This window comes from Homo sapiens, chromosome 11 (assembly GCF_000001405.40).
Source record: "Homo sapiens chromosome 11, GRCh38.p14 Primary Assembly".
In the NCBI taxonomy this organism is placed as follows: domain Eukaryota; kingdom Metazoa; phylum Chordata; class Mammalia; order Primates; family Hominidae; genus Homo; species Homo sapiens.
Genome location: NC_000011.10, coordinates 100,974,663 through 100,988,100, shown reverse-complemented (window position 1 = coordinate 100,988,100; position 13,438 = coordinate 100,974,663). Strand labels below are relative to the sequence as shown.

Here is a 13,438-nt window from a genome sequence, read left to right as displayed (position 1 = left end):
GCTGGAGTGCAGTGGTGCCATCTCAGCTCACTGCAACCTCCGCCTCCCTGGTTCAAGCCATTCTCCTGCCTCAGCCTCCAGAGTAGCTAGGACTACAGGTGCACACCACCATGCCCGGGTAATTTTTGTATTTTTAGTAGAGACAGGGTTTCACCATGTTGGCCAAGATGGTCTCAATCTCTTGACCTCATGATCCGCCCGCCTTGGCCTCCCAAAGTGCTGGGATTACAGGCATGAGTCACCGCGCCTGGCCTATTTATTTATTTATTTATTTATTTATTTATTTATTTATTTTGTGGGTTGGGCTGGGCTTACCCTCCTAAGCAGCTGGGACTACAGATGCATGCCACCCAGAGGGATTTGATGTGTTCATGCATGCCCGTTATGAGAGGCAGGACATGGGATAAAATCTGAGGCTTCTGGCTTCTACTTTAGACTCATACCACCATACTATTCCTTCATCCTCCCCATGATGACAAACTTAGGCAGAGGGAATTGACATACTTACCATTAGAAAATATTGCTCCTTGTGGGAAGGAAAGCTCATGACTGTGCTCTGCTTTACAGGAGTACATGGCTTTGGCTTGGCTGAAAGAGCAAGACAACTTGTCAAAACCTCAACACTCAACCTAAGGACATCTATATTTAAAACTCTTCTTCAAGAATGCTATTAATTTTTACTTGTAATTGGAACATAATGTACATAAAGTGCATATATGAGTGTACATCGGTGCTTTTTGCACTGAACACAATCATATTACCAGATCAAGAAATCAAGGATTACTAGCACACTAGAAACCTTTCTTGTGTTTCTAGGCAATGCTCTCCAGGGTAATCCCTGGCTTATAACAATATAGGTTGGTTTTAGAGACTGCTATTATTTAACTGTTTAATAAGTTGCTAAATAGGCTGTTTTTACAGCTATGTAGGAACGAAGGTTCCTAGGTACCCCAAAGCTTTTTTTTCCCCCACTTTCATGTTCAGACTATCTGAGGTGAGATCCAAAAATTGAAAGGCTTAAAGAATATGCTAAGTAAGTTGATTGGGCGTGATATAGGAAAAATAATAGGATAAGTTGATGATAAATGGCAACCAACTATAGCTTCACCATCAAGAAGATGATGGGGACAGGTGGAGGCTTTGCAAACCAGGGTACACCCATCCTTAACAAGAGAAGCCAACCACTCAGCTCCCAACCTCTGTCACTATATGCAAATTCATGCTCAGCATACCAGATACTCTTTTTTTTTTTCAAGTGAAGTCAGAATTTAGGAGTTACATATGAGATATGATCCAAAAATATTTGAGCCAACACTAAAAAGGCAAAATCTGAGGCTGCTAATCAAGGCACCAGGCAGGTCTCCTTTAATCTGCAACATTCAATAACCTGGGTAAGACTTGCAACTGATCCCAACTCCAAGTACTTATCATCTCTTCCACAACCAGAGTCCAAGACAATAGCATTTCCAACCTGGTTGGCTAAATGGCTTCCTGGCTTCCTAGAACCTCTATTCCCTTACAATCCATTATCTATAGAGCAGCCAGAGGGCAGCTTTAAAATGCCCATCAGATCACATTACTTCCCTGACAACCCTTCAACTGGCTTCCTACTCTGGCCCACAAACTATATGCAGTCAGGTGCCGGGTGGTCTCCCCTGCCTCTTTGTGTCCCTGCCTCTGCTCTCCTACTCTACTCCAGTCACAATGGCCCTCTTTCTTTCCTTCAAACATGCCAAATTCATTCCCACCTCAGGCCAGCTATGTCCATGTCCTGAGATGTTTTCCTCTTGATCTTCACATGGCCATGTACTTCAGGTTCATCTTAAATTTCAAGAACTTTGCTGAAGGTCAGGCCTTCTCTGAAATAGCTGCCCAGGGAACTATCATATCTTCCTGCTTCAAGTCTGCATGGTGTTAGTATCTGGTATTTTGTTATTATTGCTGATATTTTTATCTTCTCCCCTAGACACAATAAAATCTCCACGAACGATGTCTGATGCTTAGTAGTATAACTCAGGAAATGTTAGCTAAATGAATGAGTGAGAAAAAGGAAAGATGTTCTGGGTTCATTTTCTACATGATGAGTCTTTTTAAAGATTCAGGGCACCTTATCTATCCTCCTTGGGGTCCCAGCACTATACCTGCAAAGCAGCGTCAGCAGCATTTGCATCCACAGCTCTCCCAAAGCAGCAGCATTACATTATAATTTCATTTCCCTGTTGGAGCTCAACCCTGGATCTTAACCCTACACTTCCAGAATGAGGTCCAGCCATTTAAACTGGGGTTCCCAAAGACTATCTGAAGATTGGAAGGTGTAGAGAGGAAAATTCTGGACCTGCCTCCAGTCTTTTCATCAGAGGTGAGCCTCAGGCTGTACTTTCAGAAAGCTTGCTAGCGGGGCAGATTTGGGAATGACCCTCAGCCCACACAGCACAACGTCCCAGTGAAACATGGTCTAAGGAAGAACTGAGGAAGTAGAGGCACTCAGAGAAGGACAGGACTTTAAAGAACTGTGTGTGTGCACATGAACACATGCACGTGGGTATGTTGGTTGCATAGAGGTTGGAAGTGAGAACATTATCAGGTTCTGAAGACTTCTAAGAATCAGACTATGGTAGTCTCAAATAGAATATAAACTTTTTCCCTATAAATCTTCTAGCCAACTATAACCATTTGATTTGATCAGGATATTACTGAGGACTTCAGAACCATTTTCCTAAAAAAAAGGAAATATTTTTCCAAAAAATCACATTTTCTAATAGCAACAGCTTCCTCCAGTAAACAATAAGTCATATTTCTTTGAACCATTAAGACAAATTATAAAGAGATCGATAAGGAAACAATCTCCGAAGTTGTAGAAGTGATTACAATATTCTTTACAATGACCTAATTTTCAAAACTACACTTTAAAATGTACCCCAAATCTTGTAATTAATATTTTAGACATATATGTTCTCCTTACTTGTATTTATAGTATTTTATGGGACTGGTTGAGGGAGGGGAAAAGCATACAGAATAATTATATCGCTAAATAAATAAAGACATACATATTGTTAAATGTGTCAAAATCACACAGCACAAAATACTACCTGTCATGACTTTTCAATTATCTGTGCACTGACTAGACGGAATTTTCTTCTGCCGAGATCTGTAACTGCAGGTGTTAACTCTGCAGAGAGCTTTGATGATTTAATGTAGACTCTGTAACAGTGAAGTTTCCTCAGGTGCTAACGCTTCCTCTTTTACTGTCTTGGTGTATTGAAGAGGATGTGAAAATAACACTGTCACCTATTGTATCTCTCTTCAGAAGATTCTAATCTCTCTTTGAAAAAGATTTTGAAAATCCTGCCTCTTACTGCTTGGGAGAGTGAGGTAATGGCACAGTTCTGAAAGCCATTTCTTCCCTTATCATTGGAAAAATAATCTGCCCACCAGCCTCATTCCTCATTCTAAATGCCGTCTAATGCATTTAATGAGGAAACTTAACAAAAGTTTGATTGGGTCAGTGTGCAAAATTTGCCAGTGCTTATCTTAAACATAAGAGAAATTTTAAAAATTCATCAAAATTGATACAATGTCTTCAGGAGGCCTTTTGAACAATGAGAAATACACACATTTTGTATGCTATTGACGGTTTCACTTCTGAAGGGAATAGGAGTGCACGGAGGTAGAAAGATACTAAAGCAATACTATATATAAAAGTGGAAATTTTTAAAAATCACAACAATCTTAAGTATTCATCAGTAGAGAACTTAAAAATAAATTAGAGCACACCAATCTAATGAAGTATTAGGCAGCAACTATAGATAATGCTATTGAAGAACTCATGTAATGAAACAATGTTAATGCGTAAGACAAAAAGTTTACAAATTTGTTCTTGGCAAGAACCCTAAATTGCCCATGACAGTTTACCAATAAGCACTGCATTTGTTCCTTTGGCACTAATTGGAGATTTTTTTTTCTTTCTTTTGCTTTTTTTTTTTTTAGACAGGGTCTCACTGGGTTGCTCAGGCTGGAATGCAATAGTGCAATCATGGCTCACTGCAGTCTCGACTTCCGGAGCTCAGGTGATCTTCCCATCTTAGCTTCCCAGGTAGCTGGGACTATTAGGTGCACACCACCGTGCCAATTAATGTTTTATATTTTTTGCAGACACAGGGTTTCAAATTCCTGGGCTCAGGCGGTCCACTCGCCTTGGCCTCCCAAAGTGCTGGGATTACAGGAGTGTGCCACCATGCCCAGCCTAGTTGCAGATTTCTTAAAATTAATTACATGTTCTTTTCAAAGATTTTTTTCCAACAAACACTGGCTGTTTCCAGCTTGAATATCTAAGTAATACTGAATGCCTCAATGCTAAAAACTTCCACCTGAGCCTGTAGAGTTAAAGCTGCTTGTGTCAAAGACATATATATTGCAATTCCATTGAAAAAGAAGTGAAAAAGTGAGTAACAAAGTATTTTTTAGGTTAAAAATGTGCATTTTATTTACTCATTCAACAATTTTATTGAGCATCTATTGTGTGTTGGGCACTATGATAGCAACAATACAGTGAACTCCCCTACCATCCCCGCATCCCTGCCCATGTGTCCTTTTCTGTGTGTTTATCACAGAGGAGTAGTTTTCAAAAGGTGGTCAAGGGAACCTGTGGAGGGGAGATAGAGGGGCAGGCAGAAGCCTAAGATATCATTGCTCTGAAGCTAATGGAATGTATATGACAATTCATTTATTTTGTATTATGTTGGGTATTAAAGATATCTGAAAAAATGTAAAACAGTTCAACTCTTTAGGAAAATATCATTTTTCATTAACATTATGTTATTTGTGCTAATATGTAATAGGCTTATTCTTATTTTCAATAAATACATATTTTAAAATGTTATGTTTGAATTTCCAATACAGTAAATATCAATAAATATAATCCATAAAAACAGAAGCCCTTTGGGGATCCTTAAAGATCTTTTAAGTTTATAAAGGTGTTGTGAGATCAAGAAGTTTGAGAAACCACTGCCACGGATGAGATTAGAAGGCTGTGCACCAAATTTTAACAGTTTTCTTCAGGTGATGAAATTATAAGTGGTTTTAACTTACTTCTTCATTAATTTTCACATTTTCTAAAGGAAAATCATTAAATTATTATTTTAAACATCACAAATTTTTTTGCTTATGGGTGTTATGGTGATTTCTGCATCTTATGTGTGTCTTACATATGTAACTGTGTTCTAAACCAGTGATTTATAGCCTTTTAAAAACTCAAACTCACTGGGCAAGGTAACTTTGTTGAGCTTTTTGTCCTTTGTAATTCTAAGCAAAATATTTGTCTTTTAAAATTTGATAATAGAAACATTTGATTGTTTACAATGAACCAGACACTCAATTCTCAATTTATGCTCTTAATTCTCAATTCAGCCTTCAAAACATATTTGTATAGCTTGCCTGTTTATACTACTTTAAAGTGGATCTCTGCTCTGAGTATAACTGAGACCCAGGTGAAGGTTTTAAGGATACTATTTTCCACATGCCTTTATAATGGTAAGACACAGCCTAGCTACATTTGGCTTTTAAAGGGATTTTATAGGTTAAGGAAAACAATTGTAAATAACCAATGTCTGCTTAGGGCTGTGCCGGGCACTATGACATTTTTCTCTATTCCAAAGGTTCTCAAACTTTCATGTACATAAGAATCACTTGGGGAGGGTGACAAAAATGCAGCTTCCCGAGGCCTCAGTCTTGGACATTGTGGTTTATAAGGTCTATGGCAAAACCCTGGAATCTTCATTTTAACAAGTCTTGCAGCATGGTCCCTCCCATTCCAGTGAACTTGCTTTCTTACAGATCTCCAATGATGTCTTAGGAGTTAAAACCAGTGTCCTCTCCTGATCTCCTAAACCATTTTTTGCAGCTTCTACCACTGTTGGTCATGCCTTCTCATCCTGTCCATTCTTCTCTGTCTGAACGTTAAATAAAACCATTCCCCAAAGACCAATGCTTGGCCATTTGTTCTTTTTCATTTAGTAAGCCTCCTTGCTAGGTACCTTCACCTTCACCTATACAGAGTAATTGCTATGTAGAAGTTTCTTAAATGGCATCAAACTCCATGCTGTCTCCTGGTTCCAGCTGCACCTTTCTAACTGCCTCTCATTGGCCCTCACAGCCTCCTCAAACCCTATGGCCAAAATTTTCCCTTCCTCCTACATATGCACAAGCTAAGATCAGAAGCTAAACCACCATTCTTTCCAACACTGTCTCAGAGACTTGGAAACTTCTTTTCCTGTCTCTGATTCCCAATATCAAAACAGCTGCCCAATCCTGATCCTATTCATAAAAATCTCCTTATAGCTTTTCATCCCTTTGCTACTCTCCTGATTAAGGCCTTTTAAATCTCACCAGTTCCATCCTAAATGGTTGACTGTTCTCTCCCCTTCACAACCTGCTGGAAAATGATCTGTTCTGGTGCATCATAGATTAGATCACCCCTGTGTTCAATGACCTGCAGTGCCTGCAGCAATGCTGGGGGGGTTACTTTTCCGTGGCTCAAGGCCATCCACTAAAATCTCCCAACTGGTCTCTTTCCAAAATATGGCTAGTCTTCCTACTGCCTCTACTGGTTCTATCTCTTTCAAGGTCTAATTCAAGGGTAACCTTGAGCTCCTTAGGAAAAAAACAAAAATGAGACAGGCATTGTAGAAGGTCAGGGAAATTCCCTCAACTTCTATGAGTCATTCAGTTTTATTTAAGAGTACAAAAGAATATCAGGTAACTGTTAAGAGTTAGTGTTTAAATACCACTAATATATTAATCAGAGGCTTGAGTGTCTTAGGCAAGCAGTTTCAACAATAATTATGATAATAGTTATTAATGTAGAAACCATCTACAGAGCACCTGTCATGTTCAAACACAGTATTGTGTACATTCCCAACAATGTGGCAAGCTGAGAATTATGATCTTCATTGTATGGATAAAGAAAACAGATTCCCCAACATTGGTAACTCTGAGGTTACACGAACTAGAAAGTGGTGACCTAAAAATTTGAACTAGGGTCTGTCTGACCTAAAGTTCATTCATGTTCCCCTGTGCCTCAGTGAAAAGTTGTCACACAAATCACAAGTGTTGTGAACTGACAGACTGTAACTCTGAAGGTAGAGCTGAGTGAGCTCTAAGTTTATGCTGATCCCCACTAAAAGTTGATTTAGAGTATTCAGAATGCAAAAACATATTAAAGAAGTATGAGTTGGCTGGGTGCAGTGGCTCATGCCTGTAATCCCAGCACTTTGGGAGGCTGAGGCGGGTGGATCACCTGAGGTCAGGAGTTCAAGACCAGCCTGGCCAACCTGGTGAAACCCTGTCTCTACTAAAATTACAAAAATTAGCTGCACATGGTGGCACACACCTGTAATCCCAGCTACTCGGGAGGCTGAGGCAGGAGAATCACTTGAACCTGGGAGGCAGAGGCTGCAGTGAGCCAAGATCGCACCACTGCACTCCAGCCTGGTGACAGAGCGAGGCTCTTTCTCAAAAAAAAAAAAAAAAAAAAAAAAAAAAAAGAAGAAGAAAAAGAAGTATGATTTGACTGTTGAACATCTGAGTGTATTTTTATTATATGATAGCTTTCTGATTTACTTCATCCATAGCTTGTTTTCTTAAAGCTCTACGGGGATTACCTCTTTGATTATGATTACCTGAGTTTTTACTTAACAGGCTGACTTTTTAGAGCTTCCTAATAAAAGGGCTCCATCTAGTGAGCAATTCAACTACGTAGCATGGCAGAAGAAGTAGCAAGGTTAAATCCCTTACACTAAAGCCTAAAAATCAAGACAATCTCAGAGAAATGATGTTTGCTGTGACATGCATGGGGCTTAGTTTTCACCATGCTTCGGTCAAAAGGAAGATAAAGACACTGCTGACAGAGGTAAGGTTCACATGCTCTTGGCTCAGCTATTTAAATGCTAGGCACTGACCATTATTCTAGGAAGATACCAAAGTGGCTCTACTCTCTGCAGTTAAAAAAACCTAATACATGAGGGCCCTTACTGGGCTTTGAACAAAACCAAAGAGAGTTTGAAGGTTATTGTTATTGTTATTCTTAATAACTATCACATGCCCAGTACTGTCTAGGTACTTTATAAATGTTTGCTGAAAAAGTCCATATACTTTTACAGGTTGATAAAAATTATTTGGTTAAATAACTTTTAGAGGAACTATACAACAACTATACAACAGTATCTGTGATTCCTTTCCTTCACAGCCTCAATTAGCCAGACATTGGATGCTCAAAAATGTGTTCGTACATCTAAAGGAAAAATCAAGGTTTGTTATTCAAGTTCTCACATTTATATGCTCTTTCAACAATAGGCATTGAGTGTCTCCTACCTGTACTAGCAGCTGATAGTAAAAAAAAAAAATAATGAAAAGCCTCTGACTTTATGAAATTCCATTATTCAAATTAAAAACCGAAGCCCACTGTAGATCAAGAATAAATTTGAAAGCAAGAAGAGTAAAGTAGGAACTTTAGAAGCAAGCACATTAGTAGAAGCAAGATGTAACAACTCATATCCTTTTAATAATGGAATGGAATGTAAAATCTGAGAACCCCTAATGAAATTATGTACTCTAAAAACAGAGTCGCTTTGGGCAATTAACTCTACAACATCTCTGAGATCCTTAAGGATAACCATATTTTTCCATGGATATTCATGATGATTCCTCCAGAAAAAGTTATATAACTTTTAAAAATCAAGAACATGCTTTTGAAAAGTGGTCCCAAAATGACTGTCATCAAAGATGTATAAAGGATTATAGCAATTTTTATCTTCTAGGAAATGTGTTTGTTTAGAGCCCTTCTACTGTGAAGATTTCAGCAAATGAGACATCACTATAACAATGTGAGATGATATATGCTGTTTACAGACATGACTTCCTGTGAAGGGCCAGTGGACTTAAATTTGACCATCTGCATAATGGAGAGGCGGAGCTGTCACAGAGAGTGTCATGTCAATACAAAGCAACAATGTCACCACTTTTTTTTAGATGCATTTAAGGGTTTGGAGAACTTACCGCCCAGAAGAAACTGGTTTAGGTGAACCAACATTTTCAAACAGTTGAGCTTTTGCTGCCACTCTGAAAAATGATTTAAAATGCAAGTTTCATGAAGTCAATCACATTCAGTTCTGCTCAAAGTGAAATTCATGATTGCCAGTTAAACAAGACAAAAAATGGTTGAGAACCATTGCCAAAATTAGAAGGGAATTTTAATTGTTTTAACCTTTAATGTCAATGAGATTTTTAGATCTAACCTCCAGCTTACAGAGTACCAGGCTGTAATTAACCAATAGCTACTTCCTCTGGGGATCTTACTATCCTCATCCTTTTTATCTCAGAAAACCATGGGAGCAGTAAAAGGAACATTTTCTCTCTACTCTGCTCCCAGCAGCACGGCTATTGACTCCTGTGGAGCCACGAGTGAAGATGCAAAGAATCAAATCAACATGACAAAAGAACTGTTGTTCATTCTTTTAGCTAAGAAAACACTAATTATAATACTATTGATGTATTTTTTTAATATGTGAACATATGTCTGTAAAGTGAAAAGGGCAAACTCTGAAAATATGGCCAATAAACAAATCTGTAGATTTACATCTTGTTTCAAATCATGGAGGGCAAGGCAGAGAGGATATGTTCTAATTGAACAGGTAAGACTATCAGGTATGACTAAAAAGAATTGAAAGAGTTTCTATATTTACTGGAAGACTCTATAAAATTCCTTGATGTTCTAAGCTAGATTTTTAAAAAATCTATCTTATTTCTTTAATTGACAAACTCTTCTCCCAGAGCCAAGCCATTTGATTATCTCAAAGATCATTTTACACCTAATATAGAACACACACTTTAATCATTTGAATTTCTACTTTATGGGTACAATCACAAAAGAGAAACTCTTCTCTTTCCTCCACCAAGAATGGAGTTTATATTCTCTCATCTTCCCTAATACATTGGCTTAACATTTCTTTCCCTTAATGGGCAGAACTACACACAGTGGGGAGTAGACACACTGACAAATATATTTGCCTATACCACTGTAACTGGATTTCTAACCAAAAGAGATAAGGTACATTGAACATGCTCTGCAACCAAAAGGTTCCTGTCAGAGAAAAGGATGAACTAATGAATTTATGACACAGTTCCTATAGAAACAGGCTTAGTAAAATGTCTTACTGGACTTTTAATGAATAATTAAAATGTCAGGAAGAATGCCATCATATTAAAAATGGAGAAGGTAAAACAGAAGGAGCACAGAATTGTAGTCAGAGAACCCTAGGTTGGAAACGGTAGAAAAGCATCAGTTCTCGTCATCTCTAAAATGTGGTTTATACTACCCATTTCCAAAGGACACTGCAGACCTTAAAAGAGATAACTCATGTAAAGACATCCAGTAATGGCTCAGAGAGCATTAGGAAATTCTCAGCAAATGTCAGGAAAACAAAATGAAAGGGAGAGAAACTTTTTATCTCTCTTTTTTGCTTACTTGTTTAGCCAGGTTTCCATTGTTCTTCTTCACCCACTTTCTACTCATGTCTATGTACCCTTCTCCTACCAGCCTTTACAGTTCTGCATCATTTCCTTTGATGAGAAGTACCCACTTTTGCCTTGCATATTCCTCATTCTCTACTAGCTTGTTTAAATCAGTGAGGACTCAGGTATGCGGGCGTAGGATGGAAGTGAGAAAGAAGCTGCTTTAAAACAGTGAGGAGAGCAGGGACCTGGCTTATAGTCAATGCGTGGCAGTCTCTTCAGCGGAGAGATGGATGTTTAGCTTTTAATGGGAACACTTTTAGTTCCAAAGCTTATAACTACTGTATTATACATCAGTTTTCATTTCCTCAAATTAAGTCATAGCTCTGCTTCAAAGGAAAGTGCTTGAAGTGCTGCCCTGTGAGAGAGATTCTGTCCATATCCGAAGACTTCCACATCACTCATAGAAAAGAATAGAGTCTTACAGAAGTGGACTGTACCCACTCTACAGATAAAGTATTCCCAATGTATTCAACTTGTGGGATTCCCAAGAGTTCTTCTGAAACACTCAACTCCTCTCTGTATCCCTGGGAGACACAGCAAATATACAAACGCTCACTTACACTGAGCCAGGCCGCTGATAGCCATTGCTTGAGGCAGTGTCTAGTCTTAATCTCCTGCACATTTTCGGAGGCAGGTCTGGGTTTGGTGAAGCTTTGGGTGTCTCCTTGGAACCTACAGAAGTTAAGCTTTGAATAGATCCACTGTAGCTCTTGTTTCCTAAAAAGAAAGCCCAAGAAAATAGGCAAGGTGCTATTAGACAACATAATAGCAATAACACGTACATGTGCATAACAAAAGGAAGCATTTTTCTCTGAGCCCAAATGGGAAGGTACAGAATGTTCTTTGAGTACAGCAACCCATCACTTGGGGAGATCAAAATCTACAATAATTACAAAGACATCACTTCACAGACATGGAAAGATTCAGGAAAAATGTCACAGTGCCTAGGTTGTAAAATCCAAGCACAGGAAAAAAGTAGATAAGCATCATTAGTTTCTCCACCATTAACTTTATCCCTGCTTAACCATGCTGAATAATCCAGCACAAGTGACACTGAGACAATGACATCTTGCACAAGTTCCACTCTGCCTTACCTTCAGCTGCAGAGATGGATCTGAGAGAAGAAGCAGAAGCTCTTTTCAGTCCTGAAAGCCCATAAGGCTCTTTCTTGACTAGGTCTATGGGTGGGGAAACGTCTCCTGGGCTAGTGACTGAAGCAACACTCTGGCAGTCTGATTCTGCATCTGTCTTGGTTGCATCTTCTCTGGAACTTGATTCAGGACTAGTTGTCCACAGACCAAGGCTTTTCTGTCCATTGGAAGATGATGGGGTTGCAATCCAAGGAATCCCTCCAGATTTCTCCCTGGGCTGGCAGGAAGCTGACTTTGTAGTGCTATTTTGTTCAGAGGAATGAGAAGAGAGTGACTCAATGCTCCCCATAGGTGTGCTGTCTGGGCTGCTGCTATAGGAGTCACCTAAGGAGTAGGAGGGAGAGAGATGAAAGCAACTGTAACTATCTATTGATAACAGCATCACCAAAACCCTTCTGTTCTCCAACTTACCATGTGTTCTGCGGCCACCTGACCCCATTAAAGTGGTAGGCCCCTACCTAGTACGGAGAACTGTCCTCAGTACTGGAGAAAGGCTTTAAAATATGCATTTGAACTTGCCAAACGTATTTTTCAATGCTATTTTAGGAAGTTTATGTATGTACCTATGAACTACCTGCCTTTAGATAATAACTTTACTTCTTGAAGCATAAGTGGGTTGACTTGAATTCCCACAAAATTTGTTTATGAAACAGGATTCAGAAGTAAGAGAAATAAGATTCCTTCATGATATTACAAGGAATCAATGAAAGGGGGTATAGTAAAAACATATTTCTGCTTTCTTTTACTTTTCTGATCATAGGTGATTGATTCCAAGTTACAAAGTACTCAGCCTTCTTTCATTCAAAGGCACCATTAAATGTCAGTAGTAAATTACAAGTACCTCAATTTTCAAAGGCTTTTTTCCTTTCCTGCTAAGAATATAGAAATGTAAGAAACTGGCTATTTTGCTGGTTTTATTTCCTAATGTTCCTAAAAGCAAGTTATAAGAAAAATCAGATAAAGCATAATAATGCATTCACATATATCTAAATTAAAAATTAGTAAACTATTTTTTTAAATTTTTCTGGGTACATAATAGGTATGCATATTTGTGGAGAACATAGGATATTTTGATACAGGTGTGCAACTTGAAATAAGCACATCATGGTAATGGAGTATCCGTCTCCTCAGGCAGTTGTCCTTTGAGTTACAAACAATCCAATTACATTCTTTTAGTTATTTTAAAATATATAATTGACTATTTTCTATTAAATATTGACTGTGAGCAAAAAATTGGGGTGGGGGGTATAAAATAAAATGAGAACAGCCACAGTTTAATGTGTGCCATGGTGTCAAGATGCCACCCACATCACCTTAGGGCTTGGCTCAGAATTGTAAGTTGATGATAATGTGTGTTGTTTCTTTTTATCTTTTCTCTTTCAGACACTGATACCCAAGAGATAATGCTTTAAGAACATAATGTGAAAGGAAGGAAGAAAATGACAGCTTCAGTCAGACTTTGTCTTGCTTTCTTCTTTACCACTTTGACAATAGGACAGAACCTGCTACAAAGGAGCACCCAATGTACTTAATCACAGTTGCAGAAAAAAGGGCCTTGAGCCCTTTTTTCTTTTTTTCCTTTTTGTATCAATAATGAATTTGCTTACCCAAGCAACTGTACAACTATTGACAGAGAATATACAAATGATAAAAGAGGAGGTGTTGGGGAAAGAGCATCAGTGAGAACATCTTCTATTTCTACCTAATTACCAATACAG

The 13,438-nt window shown here is 38.5% G+C and overlaps 1 protein-coding gene across 5 annotated transcripts in view, besides 2 other annotated features; it reads right to left on the bottom strand.

Moving 5' to 3' along the window:
• The window catches only part of ARHGAP42 (Rho GTPase activating protein 42), a 306,654-nt gene that overhangs the window by 5,841 nt on the left and 287,375 nt on the right, over positions 1-13,438 (bottom strand). For all 5 annotated transcript variants that reach the window (NM_001367945.1, NM_152432.4, XM_011542616.3 and 2 more), the window contains 4 exons: positions 11,664-12,044; positions 11,130-11,286; positions 9,052-9,114; positions 509-588 (listed from right to left, as the gene is read on the bottom strand). In NM_001367945.1, coding sequence (NP_001354874.1) covers positions 509-588; positions 9,052-9,114; positions 11,130-11,286; positions 11,664-12,044 — 681 coding nt within the window. The remainder of the gene's footprint in view (positions 1-508; positions 589-9,051; positions 9,115-11,129; positions 11,287-11,663; positions 12,045-13,438) is intronic.
• Positions 8,797-9,363: an enhancer, noted in NCBI's record as "OCT4-NANOG hESC enhancer chr11:100849469-100850035 (GRCh37/hg19 assembly coordinates)". NCBI's record gives its function as "activates a minimal SCP1, AML or CMV promoter by ChIP-STARR-seq in naive and primed H9 embryonic stem cells {active_cell/tissue: H9 hESC(naive and primed)}" and the evidence as "EXISTENCE:reporter gene assay evidence [ECO:0000049][PMID:30033119]".
• Positions 9,364-9,932: an enhancer, noted in NCBI's record as "OCT4-NANOG hESC enhancer chr11:100848900-100849468 (GRCh37/hg19 assembly coordinates)". NCBI's record gives its function as "activates a minimal SCP1, AML or CMV promoter by ChIP-STARR-seq in naive and primed H9 embryonic stem cells {active_cell/tissue: H9 hESC(naive and primed)}" and the evidence as "EXISTENCE:reporter gene assay evidence [ECO:0000049][PMID:30033119]".